Below are 17,463 nucleotides of genomic sequence, written 5' to 3' on the forward strand. Positions count from 1 at the left end.
CCCTCTTGCCTCCTGCTGCCCCCCCTTAATGCCACCCCCGCAGCCGAGCCTCCTGTTTGCGTCAGAGTTAAGGGTGAGATCCCCGCCCCCCCCCCCCCCCCCCCACTCCACTAGGCAAACCTTCCAGAGAAGCCCAACTTGGAGGATGTGAGGCGGGGTGGGGCGGGATGCTGGGGGGAGAAGAGAGAGGATAGAGGAGTCAGCCAAGAACACCCACGTCGGAACCTCCTCCAGTGCCACCTTTAAGAGCCCGGCTACTTAGAGCAGGGGGAGAGGTCAGTAGGGGGTCTGGACATTCAAGTTCTCCTCCCATTCCGTCCTCAGGCCTAGGCGGTGGGGGTCGCCTAGGGGTCTCCTTCACTTCCCTACTCCCCTAACTCCATAGGCCTGGAGGCTAGGGGATGGAGGAGTTGACCTTTGACTCTAGGGACCCTTCTTCCACCACCCCCAGCCCCGTCCAGCAGAAACGAGCTTAGAGAAAGTAGGCCCCTGTCCCTTTAAGAACACCCGCGTCCACGCCGGCCCAGCCCGGCCGGATTTGCACTCGGAAGCTGCCGCGGCGGGGAGCGGGCGGGCGGGGCAGGGTTTGTGAATGAATCGGCCGAGGGGGAGGGGAGGGAGGAGGAGGGGCGGCGGGGGCGGTTCCCGGCTCCCCGGCCTGCCCACCCTGTGTCCAGGCAGCAGGAGTTCAGCACACGCACGCTTCCTGTCGCCCGAGGTCTCCCGAAGCCTGCAGTCTCAGGCTTGGCAGACACACCCCTTCCCCCACCCCAGCCTTCTTGAAATGGGTGGGAGTGACGGGGGGACCCCAGTCCTTAAGAACCAGGGGTTCAGAGCTCTGTAGGCGTGGAACGGCGGTCCACATCCACCCCTGCCGCCCAAGGTCTCCCAGAGTTTGATTTCTCAAACGGGAGTGCCCAGAACGCCTGGGTTCGGTTGGGCTGGCTTCCCCACGACCCCAGAGCCATAAAGGTGTGGGGTGGGGGGTCATGCCCCTCCCACGTCTCCCTCCCTCCTCCAACCCCAACGCAGAGCGTGGGCCTGGGCGTGGGCCTCTGTGCAGATGGCGTTCTGGCCCCAAAATAGCTCCCCCCCCACCTCACGTCTCCCTCCCTCCCTCTCTCCAGTGCAAAGTGGGTGAGGTGAGGATGGGCCAGGAGGGGGACCAGGAGACATTGCTCTTCCAAGAAGTAGGCTCCCTGCCGAGAAGGCCCTGAAACGTGTTTGGGAGAACCGGAGGGGGCAGGGAGCGGGAAGACCTTCTGGACATTCCTCCAACCCCCTCACTCGGGAGGCCAAAGAGTTAACTGGAAAAGCGCCCCCAGACCTCCAGTCACAGCCCTCTCTGGACGCTGGGAGGGGTCTCCTGTCTCCACACTCCCCCCACTCCAGTCCTCTTTACACCTAGGGCTGGGAGAGTCCTAGAACTCGTGGATGCCCTGATGGCCAAGCCCCTCTACCTATATCTTACATCCCCACGGCTTGGAGAACCCTCCCACCGCACTCTCCTTCGAATTTCCAGCCGGGTCCGCGTCCATGAGGACCCGTAACCCAGCCCACAACACCAGACCCCTTCCAAGCACCCCTGCAGGCTTCAATCAAACTACCGAGCCCAGACTCTTCCTCACTGACCCTCTAAAAACCTGGTCTACACAGACGCCCCAGTCTAGATCGTTTCCGGGTAGAACCCCGGATACCCGTCCACGTCCACACGGGCCTCCGCGTTCAGCCGCGTCCACACGACCCCTCCAGCAGCGGCCACCAGGACCCCCGAGAGCCCTGCCGCGTCTACACGGATCACCCCCTCCGGGGCCCAGCTGCGTCGACAAGGGCTACCCCTCTCAAAAGTCCAGCCACCTGGACTCGGGTCACCCCCCAGGAACCCCCTGGGAGCCGCATCCACGCGGACCCCGACCCCAGCCCGCGTCCACACGGGTCCCCCGACCCCCAGCCTCGCCTCCTACCTCCAACGCAAAGCAGAGACATGTCTCCGAGCTCGCAGGTGGGCCGGAGGCGGCCGGGCCGGCTCTGTCGGGTCGGGCTCAGCGGCCGCTGGGCTGGGGCATCTCCCGGCTGCAGCCCGCGCTTGGCTCACGCCGGGGCCCGGCCGCCACCGGCCATCTTGGTTCAGCACCGGGGGCGCGGACAGCGCCTGACGTGGCGCTGATGCGGGGCGGGCAGGCGGAGCCCAGGGACGCCTGATGGGGCGGGGGCGCTGCGGGCTGGGGGGGCGTTAAAGGGCCTGGCTCCGGGAAGGGGCGCCTCGCCCCACACCTCCTCGTTGCAGGGGGACAAGGGGCGACGGCGGCCCCCAAGCAGGTTTCCTCCTGTGCAGACCCTCACCTGCACTGAAATGGTGCACGTGCCCCCGCCACCCATGCATGGACATTCCTGCCCTGGTAACCTGGGCAAACGCCTCCCTGCAATACTCAAGCAAGTACAGGCAAATGCAAGCTCTTGTGTGTACGCCCGGCACCAGCACCGGGCAGATGGTCCTGTTCTCTGAGTATCTCTCTTCCTCTGTCTCTACGTCTCTGTCTCTCTAACTCTACTGCCTGGTCTCTTTCTCTCCCTGGGTCTCTGTTCCTCTGACTCTGTCCACTGCTCTCTCAGTCATGTGTCTCTTAGCCTCTCTCTGTAAAGTCTTTTTGCAGCTCTACTGCATCCTGTCTAGGTCTCTCTCTATGTCTCTAAGCCATCCAGCCCATGGGTCCTTGCCCACACTCTGAACTCCTTTTCATCCATCAATGTCTTGTCTGAATATCCTCTCCTCCAGGAAGGCTTCCCTGACTGCCCCAAGCTGAGCCTTTGTTTCTCCTCTCTGGACTCCCCCAGCCCCTATCCCTTCCTCTGATTGGGCCCTGACCCGAACGAAACTCTGCCACTCCTCCCCACTTTTCTTTTTTTTAGATGGAGTCTCCCTCTGCAGCCCAGGCTGGAATGCAGTGACGCAATCTTGGCTCACTGCAACCTCTGCCTCCTGGGATCAAGAGATTCTCCTGCCTCAGCCTCCCCGAGTAGCTGGGACTACAGGCGCATGCCACCATGCCCAGCTTTTTTTTTTTATTTTATTTTTTTTATTTTTAGTAGAGACGAGGTTTCACCATGTTGGCCAGCCTGGTCTTGAACACTTGACCTCAGGGGATCCGCCCATCTCGGCCTCCCAAAGTGCTGGGATTCAGACCTGAGCCACTGCGCCTGGCCCCCTCCCCACATATCAAACTGGGCAGCTCCATGTGGGCCCCTTGCCCTGCAACCTGCTCGCTGTATCACTGGCACCTAAACTAGCATGAAAGGCTGAGCCCCACAGGGTCTCCTGCCCCCAGCCCACATGAAAGAGCTTCATAAATGCAGAATGTGCATGGAGTTGAGTGAGGCCATTGTTCAAAACCAAACTCTGTCTCTCATCACAAGCATGGCCTTGGGCAGGTCTTGTGACCTCCTCGTGCCTCAGTTTCCGCACCTGTAGAATGAATATGATAACAAGTCCTGCCTCACAAGGTTGCTGGAGGTATTACATGAGTTAACATGTGAAACCAGTTGTAATTTTTTTTTTTTTGGAGGTGTAGTCTCAATCTGTGGCCCAGGCTGGAGTGCAGTGGCACCATCTCAGTTCACTGCAACCTCAACCTCCAAGTGATCTTCCTGCCTCAGCCTCCTGAGTAGCTGGGATTACAGGCGCTCGCCACCACATCCAGCTAATTTTTTTGTATTTTTTGTAGAGATGGGGTTTCACCATGTTGGCCAGGCTGGTCTCAAACTCCTGACCTCAAGTGATCCACCCACCGTGGCCTCCCAAAATGCTGGGATTACACGAATGAGCCACCGCGCCTGGCCCCAGTTGTAATCTTAATGCCTAATAGTAACCATGTTTGTATCTGTCACTGCTTTAAATTTTTAAAAAAATCAGCACAGCTAATTTTTGTATTTTTTGTAGAGACAGAGTTTCACCATGTCGCACAGGCTGTCTCAAACTCCTGGGCTCAAGTGATCCTCCCGTCTCAGCCTCCCAAAATGTTGGGATTACAGGCTCATGAGCCACCATGCCTGGTCTTAAATTTTTATTAAACATCAATGAGTAGATGTTTTATTAAACATTGATAATCAATAAAACATTGATGTTTTATTAAACATCAATGAGTAGATAAACTATGAGGAGCAGGCTTGGATAAAAAAAATTACCATCGACCGGGCTCGGTGGCTCACGCCTATAATACCAGCACTTTGGGAGGCTGAGGCGGGGTGATCACAAGGTCAGGAGATCGAGACCATCCTGGCTAACACGGTAAAACCCGTCTCTACTAAAAATACAAAAAATTAGCCGGGCGTGGTGGCGGGCGCCTGTATTCCCAGCTACTCAGGAGGCTGAGGCAGGAGAAAGGCGTGAATCCGGGAGGCGGAGCTTGCAGTGAGCCGAGATCGGGCCACTGTACTCCAGCCTGGGTGACAGAGAGAGACTCCGTCTCAAAAAAAAAAAAAAATACCATCACAATAAAAGACCCCCATGTGCCTCTCCCCAATCTCATAATCCTTCCCTGCAGATGGAAGAACTATCACAAATTTTGTTTTTCATTTTCTTCCTTTTCCTTATAGTTTACCACATGCTCCTTAGCAAACAATACATGGTTACCTCTTGCATGTTTCTATTTTTTTGAGACAAGGTCTCATTGTGTCACCCAGGCTGTAGTACAGTGGTGTGAGCTCCTGAGCTCAGACAATCCTCCTGTCTCAGCCTCCCAAGTACCTGGAACAACAGGCATGCACCTCCATGCCTGGCTAATTAGAGATGAGGGTCTCACTATGTTGCCCAGGCTTGTCTTGAACTCTGGGGTTCAAACAATCTGCCTGCCTTGGACTCCCAAAGTGCTGAAATTACAGGCATGAGCCACCTCATTTGACTTTGTTCACATTCTTTACTAATCTGTTTGTTTGTTTGTTTTTTGAAACAGAGCTGCACTCTGTCACCCAGGCTGGAGTGCAGTGGCACAATCTCCGCTCACTGCAATCTCTGCCTCCCAGGTTCAAGCGATTCTCCTACCTCAGCCTCCCGAGTAGCTGGGATTACAGGCGCCCATCACCTTGCCTGGCTTTTTTTTTTTTTTTTTTTTTTTTTTTTTTTTTGAGACAGAGTTTTGCTCTTGTTGCCCAAGCTGGAGTGCAATGGCACGATCTCAGCTCACCGCAACCTCCGCCTCCCAGGTTCAAGCAATTCTCCTGCCTCAGCCTCCTGAGTAGCTGGGATTACAGGCATGTGCCACCATGCCCAGCTAATTTTTTTGTAATTTTTAGTAGAGACGGGGTTTCTCCATGTTGGTCAGGCTGGTCTCGAACTCCTGACCTCAGGTGATCTGCCCATCTCGGCCTCCCAAAATGCTGGGATTACAGGCATGAGCCACTATGCCTGGCCATGGAGGTTGCAGTGATAATTTTTGTATTTTTAGTAGAGACAGGGTTTCACCATGTTGGCCAGGCTGGTCTCAAACTCCTGACCTCAGGTGATCCACCCACCTCAGCCTCCCAAAGTGCTGGGATTACAGGTGTGAGCCACAGCACCTGGACTGCTAATCTGTTTTGTTTGCTCAATGTGATTCTGCTGATATTCATCCATATCGCTGCATGTGGCTGTAAGGCTTGCATTTTTTACTGCTGCATAGTATTCCTTTGTATGAATCTTCTATTGGCTATTCATCTGTTCTCCAGGTCATGGACTTTTGGGTTGTTTCAAGCTCAGGTTTATTACAAAAAAAAGTTTTTATGACCATCCTCAGACTTCAGACTTGTGTGCTGGCACACATGAGTAAGGATGGCTGGGTCAGAAAATACATATATGTGGCCAGACATGGTGGTTCATGCCTGTAATCCCAGCATTTTGGGAGGCTGAGATGGGCAGATCATGAGGTCAAGAGATCGAGACCATCCTGGCCAACATGGTGAAACCCTGTCTCTACTAAAAACACACACAAAAATAGCCAGGCATTATGGCACACCCCTGTAGTCCCAGCTACTCAGGAGGCTGAGGCAGGAGAATTGCTTGAATCCAGGAGGCGGAAGTTGCAGTGAGCCGATATCACGCCACTGCACTCTAGCCTGGAAACAGAGCAAGACTCTGTCTCAAAAAAAAAAAAAAAAAAGGAGGGAAAGAAAGAAAAGAAAATACATATATGCTCAGCTTCACCTGATAATGTCATGTTTTTTATTGGGAGTCTGGCGATTTTCATCATACCAACACAGTATAATCATCGGTTCCTCTATGTTTTGTTTTTGTTTTGTTATTGGTTTTTGTTTTTTCTTGAGATAGTCTCACTCTGAGGCCCAGGCTGGAGTGCAATGGTGCAATCACAGCTCACTGCAGTCTCCACCTCCTGGGCTCAAGCGATCCTCCTGTCTCAGCTTCCCAAGGAGCTGGGACTACAAGCCTGTGCTACCATGCCTGGCTCATTTTATTTTTTTTAGATGGGGTCTCCCTATGTTGCCCAAGCTGTTCTCAAACTCCTGAGCTCCAGTGATCCTCCTGCCTCGGCCTGCCAAAGTGCTGGAATTCCAGGCATGAGGTACCGTGCCTGGCTCTAAGTTCTTGCCAACACTTTGAATTGTCCAAGTTTTTTCACTGGGCCTATGTGGAGGGAGGGAAGGAGTGCCTCATTTGGGTTTTGGTTTGCTTTCTGATTGCTCTTGACGTTGAACTTTTTATGTGATTACTGGTTTCTTTTTATGGTGAAATGCCTGTTCAAGTCTTTTATCCATTTCTTTCTCTTTTTTTTTTTTTTTTTTTTTTTGAGACTGAATCTCTCTCTATCATCTAGGCTTGAGTGCTTCTACTAATGTTGACATCTTATATATTGTTACAGGGTACATTTTGAGATGGAGTCTTGCTCTGTCGCCCAGGCTGGAGTGCAGTGTTGAGATCTCAGCTCACTGTAACCTGTCTCGCAGATTCAAGGGATTGTCCTGCCTCAGCCTCCCGAGTAGCTGGGATTACAGGTACACTCTCTATCATGCCCGGCTAATTTTTGTATTTTTTGTAGAGACAGGGTTTCACCATGTTGGCCAAGCTGGTCTCCAACTCCTGACCTCAAGTGATCCACCCACCTCGGCCTCCCAAAGTGCTGGGATTACAGGTGTGAGCCACTGCACTCGGCCTTTTGTCCATTTCTTAAAATTTCACTGTCTTTTTCTATTGATTTATAGTTCCTATGCATATTAGGAACAAATCCTTTGTTAGTTTCATTTGTTGTAAAAATCTCCAATTTTGTAGCTTGTCTTCACTGTATTTACTGTGTCATTTTCTGAACAGAAGCTCTTACTTTTTCTTTTCTTTTTTTTTGTTTGTTTGTTTGTTTTAGGCAGGTTCTCACTCTGTCACCCAGGCTGGATGCAGTGGCATGATCACAGCTCACTGCAGCCTCCACCTCCTGGGCTCAAGCCATCCTCCCACCTCAGCCTCCCTGGTAGCTGGGATTACAGTCACATGCCACCACACCCAGCTAATTTTTTTTTTTTTATCTTTTGTAGAGATGGAGTTTCGCCATGTTGCCCAGGCTGATCTGGGACTACTGGGCTCAAGCAATCCTCCTGCCTCAGCCTCCCAAAGTGCTGGGATTATAGGCATGAGCCACTTCACTCGACCTAAACTTTTTATTTGGGAAACAAAAATTTTAGACATACAGAACAGTTGCTGAGGTATAGAGTTGCATTTTACAGTCCATCCTATATACCCTTCACCCAGCTTCTAATAATGTTGACATCTTATATATGGTTACAGGGTACATTCTGAGACGGAGTCTTGCTCTGTTACCCAGGCTGGAGTGCAGTGGCGCGATCTTGGCTCACTGTAACCTCTGCCTCCCAGGTTCAAGGGATTGTCCTGCCTCAGCCTCCTGAGTAGCTGGGATTACAGGTATGCTCTCTACCATGCCCGGCTAATTTTTGTATTTTTAGTAGAGACAGCATTTCACCATGTTGGCCAGGCTGGCCTCGAACTCCCAGCCTCAGGTGATCTGCCTGCCTTGGCCTCCTAAAGTGCTGGGATTACAGGTGTGAGCCACCACATCCAGCCTACTTATATATTTTTAATGCATTTAGTGGTGGGGGTCTCGCTATGTTGCCCAGGCTGGTCTCAAACTCCTAGTCTCAAGCAATCCTCCCACCACAGCCTCTAGCAAAATTTACCATTTCGAACTGGATAATTCAGTGGCATTTCCCACATTGACTGTGTTGCTATGTTGTTGTGCATTAATCACCTCTGTCCAGTTCCAGAACATTTTCATTACCCTGAAATAAAACCCCATCCCGATTAGCAATCACTCCCTTTCCCCCACGCCCAGCCCCAGGCTACCATTAACCTGCTTCTCATCTCTGTGGATTTAAGTTATTCAACTTGCTCAGTCTTTTGCAGTGTAGGACACCATGTCTAACTCATAGCATACTTGCTTGTTTAAGAAATCCTTTCCCGGGTGGGTGCATTGGCTTACACCTATAATCCCAGCACTCTGGGAGGCCAAGGCGGGAGGATCACTTGAACCCAGAAGTTCAAGACCAGCCCAGGCGACATAGGGAGACCCCGGCTCTACAAAACATACAAAAATTCGCCAGGAGAGGTGGTGCACACCTGTAGTCCCAGCTACCTGAGAGGCTGAGGTGGGAGGATCACCGGAGCCTGGGAGGTCGAGACTGCAGTCTGCAATGAGCTGTGATTGTGCCACTGCACTCAAGCCTGGGTGATAGAGTGAGACCCCGTTTAAAAAAAAAAAAAAAAGGAAAGAAAGAAAGAAAAAGAGGCCGGGTGCGGTGGCTCACGCCTGTAATCCCAGCACTTTGGGAGGCCGAGGCGGGTGGCTCACGAGGTCAGGAGAACAAGACAATCCTGGCTAACACGGTGAAACCCGTCTCTACTAAAAATACAAAAAATTAGCCGGGCGTGGTGGCAGGCACCTGTAGTCCAAGCTACTTGGGAGGCTGAGGCAGGAGAATGGCATGAACACGGGAGGCAGAGCTTGCAGTGAGTGGAGATCATGCTACTGCACTCCAGCCTGGGTGACAGAGCGAGACTCCATCTCAAATTAAAAAAAAAAAAAAAGAGAGAGAGAGAGAAAGAAAGAGAAAAAGAAAAGAATAGAAGAGAAGGAAGGGAGGGAGGGAGGAAGGAAGGAAGGGAAAGAAAGAGAGAGAGGGAGAGAGGGAAAGAGAGAGAGACAGAAAGAGAGACAGAAAGAGAAAAAAGAGAAAGAAAGAGAAAGAAAGAAAAGAAGGAAAGAGAGAAAGGAAAGGAAAGAAACAAAGAAAAAGGAGGGAGGGAGGGAAGGAAGGGAGGGAGGGAGGAAGGAAGGAAGGAAGGGGAAAGAAAGGAAAGAAATCATTTTCTGCCCCAGCGTCATAAAGATCTTCCCATACGTATTCTACATTTTTTGAGTCTTGTCATTTGCAGTCATGTCTTGACTTCTCTTGGAACTGATTTCTGAGTGTGGAGTAAGATAAAGTCCAATCGCATATTTTGTCCATGGGGATGATCTATTGTCCCAATACCCTGTAATGAAACTCACAAAGCAAGTTTTCATGCATGTGTGGATTTAACAGCAAGCATAGACCAACCAGAAGTCAAGCAGTGCTGCTGGATGTCTGCCCACCTGGAAGTCTGGTCTAGGATCTCTCTTCTGTCCCAGAGGCTGATCTATTCCTGGTAGAAGCTTTGTGCTAATCGTTTACATCTGCCAACACCAGTCACTCATCTTGCTCTGCTTCACAAGCATCTGACTTATTCTTTGCTTTCTTCTCAGCTTTTTGGGTTGCATGGAGAAACTCAGTTGGGACTTAGATTGGAATTGCATTGAATCTATAAACCAAATCAGGAGAATGAGCATCTTTTGTGATTGAATCTTTCAAAGTGAACATACAGTGAATAATTCCATTTATCTATCTTTCAGCAAAGCTTATAACTTTGGGATTTTTTTCTAGATGCTTTGAGTATTTGGTGCTGTGGATAAGTGGCCTATTTATTTGGGGGACAGGGTCTGACTCTGTCACCCTTTCTGGAGTGCAGTGGTGCAATCATACCTCATTATAGCCCCAACCTCCCTGGCTCAAGTGATCCTCTTGCCTCAGCCACCCCAGTAGCTGGGACTACAGGTTTATGTCACCATTCTTGACTAATTTTTTATTTTTTGTAGATACGGGGTCTCCCTATGTTGCCCAGGCTGGTCTTGAACCCCTGGGCTCAAGCGATCCTCTTGCCTCATCTCCCAAAGTGCTGGGATTACAGTCGTAAGCCACTGTGACCAGCATCTATCAAGCTTTCTCAACTTTTTGTAAACCCAATAATTAGATGTGCACATTCTTTGGGAGTTTATTGCGTATGAGGATGTTATCTGCAAATAAAGACACTCTTTTTTTTTTCTTTTTCCTTTTTTTTTTTTTTTTTGAGGCAGGGTCTCGCTCTGTCACCCAGGCTGGAGTACAGTGGTGCGATCTTGGCTCACTGCAACCTCTGCCTCCTGGGTTCAAGCAATTCTTGTGTCTCAGCCTCCCACATAGCTGGGATTACCCTCCCCAGGCTCAGGTGATCCTCCCACCTTAGCCTCCTGAGTAGCCAGGACTACAGGTACACACCACCATGCCCAGCTAATTTTTTTTTTTTGAGATGGATTCTCACTCTGTCCCCCAGGCTGGAGTGCAGTGGCGCAATCTCGGCTCATTGCAACCTCCACCTCCCTGGTTCAAGCAATTCCCCTGCCTCAGCCTCCCGAGTAGCCGGGATTAGAGAAGGGACAAGAGTGAGTCCAGGTCAGGCAAGCCACCACGCCCAGCTATTTTTTGTATTTTTAGTAGAGATGGGGTTTCGTCACATTGGCCAGGCTGGTCTCGAACTCCTGGCCTCAAGGTCTCGAACGCCTTGGCCTCCCAAAGTGCTGAGATTACAGGCGTGAGCCACCGTGCCAGGCCTAAAGACACCCTTAATTCCTCCTTTCCACTCCTCAGAACTTTCATTTCTTGTTTTCTTTAGTAAAATGCGCAGCACCATGTTAACAGGCATTCCTGCCTTGTTCCAATTCTGAAAGAGAATGTTTCAACGTTCATCATTGATCATTTGGATCCAATTAATTTTTAAGCCCTGGTGCCTCATTTCATTCCCACCAACAGCATAGCTCGGCTGATTCGAAAGGTATTGATTTGAGCTGTCTCCTCCTCCCTCCAATTAATTATGCCATGCTGCTTCTGTCTTCTCTTGCCCTCTCTTCTCTGTGGCCCCCTCTTTTTTTTTTTAGACACAGTTTTCCTCTTGTCATCCAGGCTGGAGTGCAGTGGCATCATCTCAGCCTGCAACCTCCGCCTCCCAGGTTCAAGCGATTTTCCTGCCTTAGCCTCCCAAGTAGCTGGGATTACAGGCATGAGCCACCACACCTGGCTAATTTTGTATTTTTAGTAGAGACGGGGTTTCACCATCTTGGCCAGGCTGGTCTCGAACTCCTGACCTTACGTGATCCACCTGCCTTGGCCTCCCAAAGTGCTGAGATTACAGGCGTGAGCCTCCACACCCGGCCGGCCCCCTCTTTTATTTATTTATTTATTTACTTATTTTTGAGACAGTCTTTGTCACCCAGACTGAAGTGCAGTGACAAGATCTCGGCTCACTGCAACCTCCATGTGGCCCCCTCTTAACTTCATTCCCCTCCAGGTGCATCTGCATTTGGAGCCTTTGCAAACCCTGTGTGACTCTCTGTGTCTTTCCATCTCTCTTCTCTTGGCTTCCAATTTCATGCTTTCTCTCCACCACCCTAGGAAACCCACAAAGAAAAATAATGGAAAGAGAAGTGATGGGAGATAATGTACAGGCTGGTGAAAAGTACAACCCCCCCACCTGCAGAGTGAGGCTACCACTGCCAGCAAATGCAGACACATCATTCCTGCCTTGCTGAGCTCCAGGGCTTCCCCAGGGACCCTGCTCTTATCAAAACCTGCCCACCCCCGGTGCCAAAAGCAGCGATGAAAACATCTGGGCTTTAGATGAGAAGAGTTTCACGGCACAGCATCTGTCCAGCTCAGCTTTTGAATGGAGAATGAATGGTAAGAGCTTTTTTTCTTCTTTTTGTGAGATGGTGTCTCACTCTGTCGCCCAGGCTGGAGTGCAGCGGCACAATCACGGCTCACTGCAGCCTCGACCTCCCCAGGCTCAGGTGATCCTCCCACCTTAGCCTCCTGAGTAGCCAGGACTGCAGGTACACACCACCATGCCCAGCTAAGTTTTTTTTTTTTTTTTTGAAATGGAGTCTCTGTCGCCCGGGCTGGAATGCAATGGCGCAATCTCGGCTCATTGCAACCTCCACCTCTCTGGTTCAAGCAATTCCCCTGCCTCAGCCTCCCGAGTAGCTGGGATTACAGGCGCACGCCACCACACCCAGCTAATTTTTTTTGCATTTTTAGTAGAGAAGGGGTTTCACCATGTTGGCCAGGCTGGTCTCAAAGTCCTGACCTCAGGCAATGTGCCCCCTTCGGCCTCCCAAAGTGCTGGGATTACAGGCATGAGCCACCGCGCCCGGCCCCAGCTAATTTTTTGTACTTTTGTAGAGATGAGGTTTCATCGGGTTTCCCAGTCTGCTCTTGAACTCCTGGGCTCCAGCAATCCTCCCACCTTGGCCTCCCAAAGTGCTGGGATTACAGGCATAAGGTACCCGCACCCGGCTGGGCAGAGCTTTTTCTAGCAGCCCCAATCCAAGGCAAACTTGCTTGGTCTTCAGATAAATTCCCAGTCCTTACGGGGTGCATTTGATGTTCCTGGCACTGTGCAAAGCTCCATGGAGTAGACGGATACCGATGAGACGTCAATTTGTTCAGCCAGCGTTTGCTGGTGCCATCTGGATGCTGGGAACTAAGCTTGTCACCAGGTTCTGCCAGGCGACATTGTCCCTAGCATGGGAAGTGGGAATGAACAAGCAGGCAGAGGAAGTCAAGGACGATTATGAGGCGATGGGAAGGGTCTGGTGACAGAGAGGGATGGAAGGGGTGGGGGAATCTGCTTCCCGGAGGAGGCAACACGAGAGCCAAGATGTAAAAGAGGTGGAGCCAGGCAGGGAGAGAGATGAGGGACAGGCATTCACAGGACAGGTGCAAAGGCCCTGAGGTGAGGCTGTGCCTGGTGTGTTGGAGAAGCCGAGAAGGCTTGTGTGAATGAGTGAGGGGGAGAGAGGAAAAGAGAGAAAGGGGACCGGACATGGTGACTCACCCCTGTAATCCCAGCACTTTGGGAGGCCAAGGCGGGCAGATAACCTGAGGTCAGGAGTTCGAGAGCAGCCTGCCCAACATGGTGAAACCCCGTCTCCACTAAAAAATTACAAAAATTAGACAGGGGTGGTGGTGCACGCCTGTAGTCCCAGGTACTCCAGAAGCTGAGGCAGGAGAATCACTTGAGCCTGGGAGGCAGAAGTTGCAGTGAACAGAGATTGTGCCACTGCACTCCAGCCTGGGCAAAACAGCGAGACTCTGTTTCAAAAAAAAAAAAAAGAAGAAGAAGAAGAAGAAGAAGAATAGAGAGAAAGGGAACTGCGGGGGAAGGTCATTCAGGGCCTCAGGGCAGGGGATGGAGAAGGCTCTGGAATTTACTCTGAGATGGACAGACAGAGAGATGGAGAGAGAGTGACTGAGAAGGAAGAAGAGATGGGGGTTCAGCTCTGCAAGACAGGGCTGAGACTCCAGCCCAAGCCTAAGTGGCCACTGAGGTCTTGTTCTAACCCGTGTCTCCCCACCCCCAGACCTCTCTCTGATGCCCCCAACTGCACTGGCAGGGAGTGACCACCTTGAACGGAAAACGGAATCAGAACACTGTGGGCACTCCATAAACATGAGTGAGTCAGTACGTGGTGGAGGGAGTGAGGGAGGGATGGAGTCGGGGGCGGGGAGGGGGGCAGGTCAGCAGGGATACAGACTATGCCAGGCCTCCTGATCACAGGAAAGAGTGTGGGCTATACTATGAGGGTAATAGGGAGCCACGGGAGGGCTTTGAGCAGAGGAAGGGCGTGATCTGCTTTATGATTTTTTTTTTTTTGAGATGGAGTCTCGCTCTGTCGCCCAGGCTGGAGTGCAGTGGCGCGATCTCGGCTCACTGCAAGCTCTGCCTCCCGGGTTCACGCCATTCTCCTGCCTTAGCCTCCCAAGTAGCTGGGACTATAGGTGCCCACCACCACGCCCAGCTAAATTTTTTTGTATTTTTAGTAGAGACGGGGTTTCATATGTTAGCTAGGATGGTCTCGATCTCCTGACCTCGTGATCTGCCCATCTTGGCCTCTCAAAGTGCTGGGATTACAGGCGTGAGCCACCGCTCCCGGCCTGCTTTATGATTTTAAGAATCCATCTGGGGCTCCCTAGGGGAGCAAGGATGGCTGGGGGCAGGAGTGTAGGTGGCAGGGAGCCAGGACAGCATCCACACAAGATACAGCAGGCCCCTTAGGAGCTCAGGGAGGCTCAGTTTCATTCTGGAGCCGGAGACTGCAGGACCTGCTGATGCACTGAACATGCAGGGTAAGGAAAGAGAAGGGACAAGAATGAGTCCAGGTCAGGTGCAGTGGCTTATGTCTGTAATCCCAGCACTTTGGGAGGCCGAGGCGGGAGGATTCCTTGAGGGAGACCAGGATTTTGAGATCAGCCTGGGCAACAGAGTGAGACCCCATCTCTACAAAAATTTTTAAATGAGCTGGGCATGGTGGTGTGTGCCTGTAGTCCCAGCTACTCAGGAGGCTGCAGTGGGAGGACTGCCTGAGCCAAGGAGATGGAGGCTGCAGTGAGCTATGACTGCACTACTGCACTCCAGCCTGGGTCTAGGTGACAGAGTGAGACTCTGTCTCTTTTTTAGTTTGTTTGTTTTGTTTTGTTTGTTTGAGACAGAGTCTCCCTCTGTTGCCCAGGCTGGAGTGCAGTGGCACAATCTCGGCTCACTGCAACCTCCGCCTCCTAGGTTCAAGCGATTCTTGTACCTCAGCCTCCTGAGTAGCTGGGATTACAGGCACCCGCCACCACGCCCCACTAGTTTTTTGTATTTTTAGTAGAGACAGGTTTTCACCATGTTGGCCAGGCTGGTTTTGAACTCTTGACCTCAAGTGATCTGCCTGCCTCAGCCTCCCAAGGTGCTAGGATTACAGGCATGAGCTACCACGCTCGGCTGACCCTGTCTCTTAAAAAAATAAAATAAAGAGGGCCGGGCGCGGTGGCTCACGCTTGTAATCCCAGCACTTTGGGAGGCCGAGGCAGGTGGATCACGAGGTCAGGAGATCGAGACCATCCTGGCTAACACAGTGAAACCCCGTCTCTACTAAAAATACAAACAATTAGCCAGGCATGGTGGCGGGCGCCTGTAGTCCCAGCTACTCACGAGGCTGAGGTGGGAAAATGGCATGAGCCTGGGAGGTGGAGCTTGCAGTGAGCCGAGATGGCGCCACTGCACTCCAGCCTGGGCAACAGAGCAAGACTCCATCTCAAAAAAAATAAAATAAAATAAAATAAAGAGCGTATCCAGGAATCAGGACCCAGGCTACTGTGTGATAGTGGAGGCACCAACAGGATGGAGAAGGGGCAGATCTCAGGGCGAGTAACTATTCTAAGAGCCAGGTTTTGGCCTTGTGAGTGTGAAATGCCTGCAAGGCACTCAGTGGAAATATCCAATGCCATTGGATACTGAGGCCTGGAGCTCTGGGGAGATGCAGGCTGGAGACACCAATGGGATAGTCGACAACACGCAATGAGGTGTGGCTATTTGGGGCAAGGGCATAGATACAAGGTCAAGGGACACCCTGCTCTTCCAGGACTATCAAAGCCAAGACATCACACCCAGGGGTCCACCCTTTACAACTCTGTCCATGCCCAACGCCAGTCCCTGTTATCAGGTCAGCAGGAATGCTACCTGCAGGGAACATGGAATTCAGTGTCCTTGGGCTTACCATAGGTGCTCCTCTTCTTCTCTCAAGTGCCTATTTATTTATTTATTTATTTATTTATTTATTTATTATTTGAGATGGAGTATCACTCTGTCACTAGGCTGGAGTGCAGTGGCGCAATCTTGGCTCACTGCAACCTCTGCCTCCTGGGTTCAAGCAATTCCCCTGCCTCAGCCTCCCGAGTAGCTGGGACTACCATGCCCAGCTAATTTTTTTTTTTTTTTTTTTGTATTTTAGTAGAGATGGGGTTTCACCGTGTTGGCTAGGATGGTCTCAATCTCCTGACCTCGTGATCCACCCGCCTCGGCCTCCCAAAGTGCTGGGATTACAGTCAAGTGCTCATTTATAGATGGGGAGACTGAGTTCCTGAGAGTTTGGGGCAGCAGGCAGCGGGGCGGGGGAGGGGGACAAGGCTGGGACGTGAAGTGGGTCTGGAGTAACTCTCAGAATAGGCCGTTTCTGCAATGCAGACGTCTGTGTAATCGTTCATTCATTCAATGAACGTAGTTTGGATCCACACCCTTGCCCATCTCGCGCTGATCTGAAAGGGGACGTTTCTGTTAGGTGTGGTGGCTCACGCCTGTAATCCCAGCACTTTGGGAGGCCAAGGTGGACGGATCACCTGAGGTCAGGAGCTGCAGACCAGTCTGGTCAACATGGTGAAACCCCGTCTCTACTAAAAATACAAAAAAAAATTAGCTAGGCGTGGTGGCGCCTGCCTGTAGTCAGTCCCAGCTACTTGGGAGGCTGAAGCAGGAGAATCACTTGAACCTCAAAGGCAGAGGCTGCAGTGAGCCGAGATCACGCCACTGCACTTCAGCCTGGGTGCAACAGAGTGAGACCCCATCTCAAAATAATAATAATGATGATGATAATAATCATAATGATGAAAGGGGCATTTCAACGTTCACCATTGAGCACTCGGATCCAATTAATTTTTAAGCTCTGGTGCCCCATTTTCTTCCAGCCAACAGCTCAGCTAATTCCAAAGCTATTGATTTGAGCCTTCTCATCCCTCCACTTAATTATGCCGGTGCTGTCTGTATCTTCTCTTGCCCTTTTTTCTCTGCGGCTCCTTCTTTGCCAAGGTCAAGGGTCCAGCGAGCAAGGAGGATCTCGCTCAGCACAGGGAATTGGAGGAAGGACATTCCTGGCCGAGGGCAGGGTGTGTGCAAAGGCTCTGAGATTGGACCTCTTATTGAACTTAATTGTAGCTGTCAGGCTGCCTGGGGCAGAGAAATCGATGAGGGCAAACTTGGCTTATCGCCTATAAAATGAGGATAAAAAATAATGGTTTCTGCCAGGTGCGGTGGCTCAAGTCTGTAATCCCAGCACTTTGGGAGGCCAAGGCGGGCAGATCACCTGAGGTCAGGAGTTCAAAACCAGCCTGGCCAACATGGTGAAACCCTATCTCTACTAAAAGTTTAAAAATCAGCTGGGCGTGGTGGCGGGCGCCTGTAATCCCAGCTACTCGGGAGGCTGAGGCAGGGGAATCGCTTGAACCCAGGAGCCAGAGGCTGCAGTGAGCCGAGATCGCGCCACTGTACTC

General features: G+C 51.5%; 1 protein-coding gene across 7 annotated transcripts in view, besides 4 other annotated features; it reads right to left on the minus strand.

Moving 5' to 3' along the window:
* The window catches only part of UNC13A (unc-13 homolog A), an 87,019-nt gene extending 84,878 nt beyond the window's left edge, over positions 1-2,141 (minus strand). For all 7 annotated transcript variants that reach the window (XM_011527810.3, NM_001387022.1, NM_001387023.1 and 4 more), the window contains exon 1: positions 1,965-2,141. In XM_011527810.3, coding sequence (XP_011526112.1) covers positions 1,965-1,986 — 22 coding nt within the window. In that variant the 5' untranslated portion in view covers positions 1,987-2,141. The remainder of the gene's footprint in view (positions 1-1,964) is intronic.
* Positions 321-1,282: an enhancer, noted in NCBI's record as "H3K4me1 hESC enhancer chr19:17797343-17798304 (GRCh37/hg19 assembly coordinates)". NCBI's record gives its function as "activates a minimal SCP1, AML or CMV promoter by ChIP-STARR-seq in primed H9 embryonic stem cells {active_cell/tissue: H9 hESC(primed)}" and the evidence as "EXISTENCE:reporter gene assay evidence [ECO:0000049][PMID:30033119]".
* Positions 1,283-2,243: an enhancer, noted in NCBI's record as "H3K4me1 hESC enhancer chr19:17798305-17799265 (GRCh37/hg19 assembly coordinates)". NCBI's record gives its function as "activates a minimal SCP1, AML or CMV promoter by ChIP-STARR-seq in naive H9 embryonic stem cells {active_cell/tissue: H9 hESC(naive)}" and the evidence as "EXISTENCE:reporter gene assay evidence [ECO:0000049][PMID:30033119]".
* Positions 1,477-1,659: a silencer, noted in NCBI's record as "fragment chr19:17798499-17798681 (GRCh37/hg19 assembly coordinates)". NCBI's record gives its function as "represses an EF-1alpha promoter that drives an FKBP-Casp9 reporter gene in an ReSE screen in HepG2 liver carcinoma cells {active_cell/tissue: HepG2}" and the evidence as "EXISTENCE:reporter gene assay evidence [ECO:0000049][PMID:32094911]".
* Positions 15,146-15,373: a silencer, noted in NCBI's record as "fragment chr19:17812168-17812395 (GRCh37/hg19 assembly coordinates)". NCBI's record gives its function as "represses an EF-1alpha promoter that drives an FKBP-Casp9 reporter gene in an ReSE screen in K562 erythroleukemia cells {active_cell/tissue: K562}" and the evidence as "EXISTENCE:reporter gene assay evidence [ECO:0000049][PMID:32094911]".

The sequence above is a fragment of the Homo sapiens genome, chromosome 19 (genome assembly GCF_000001405.40).
Source record: "Homo sapiens chromosome 19, GRCh38.p14 Primary Assembly".
Classification (NCBI taxonomy): domain Eukaryota; kingdom Metazoa; phylum Chordata; class Mammalia; order Primates; family Hominidae; genus Homo; species Homo sapiens.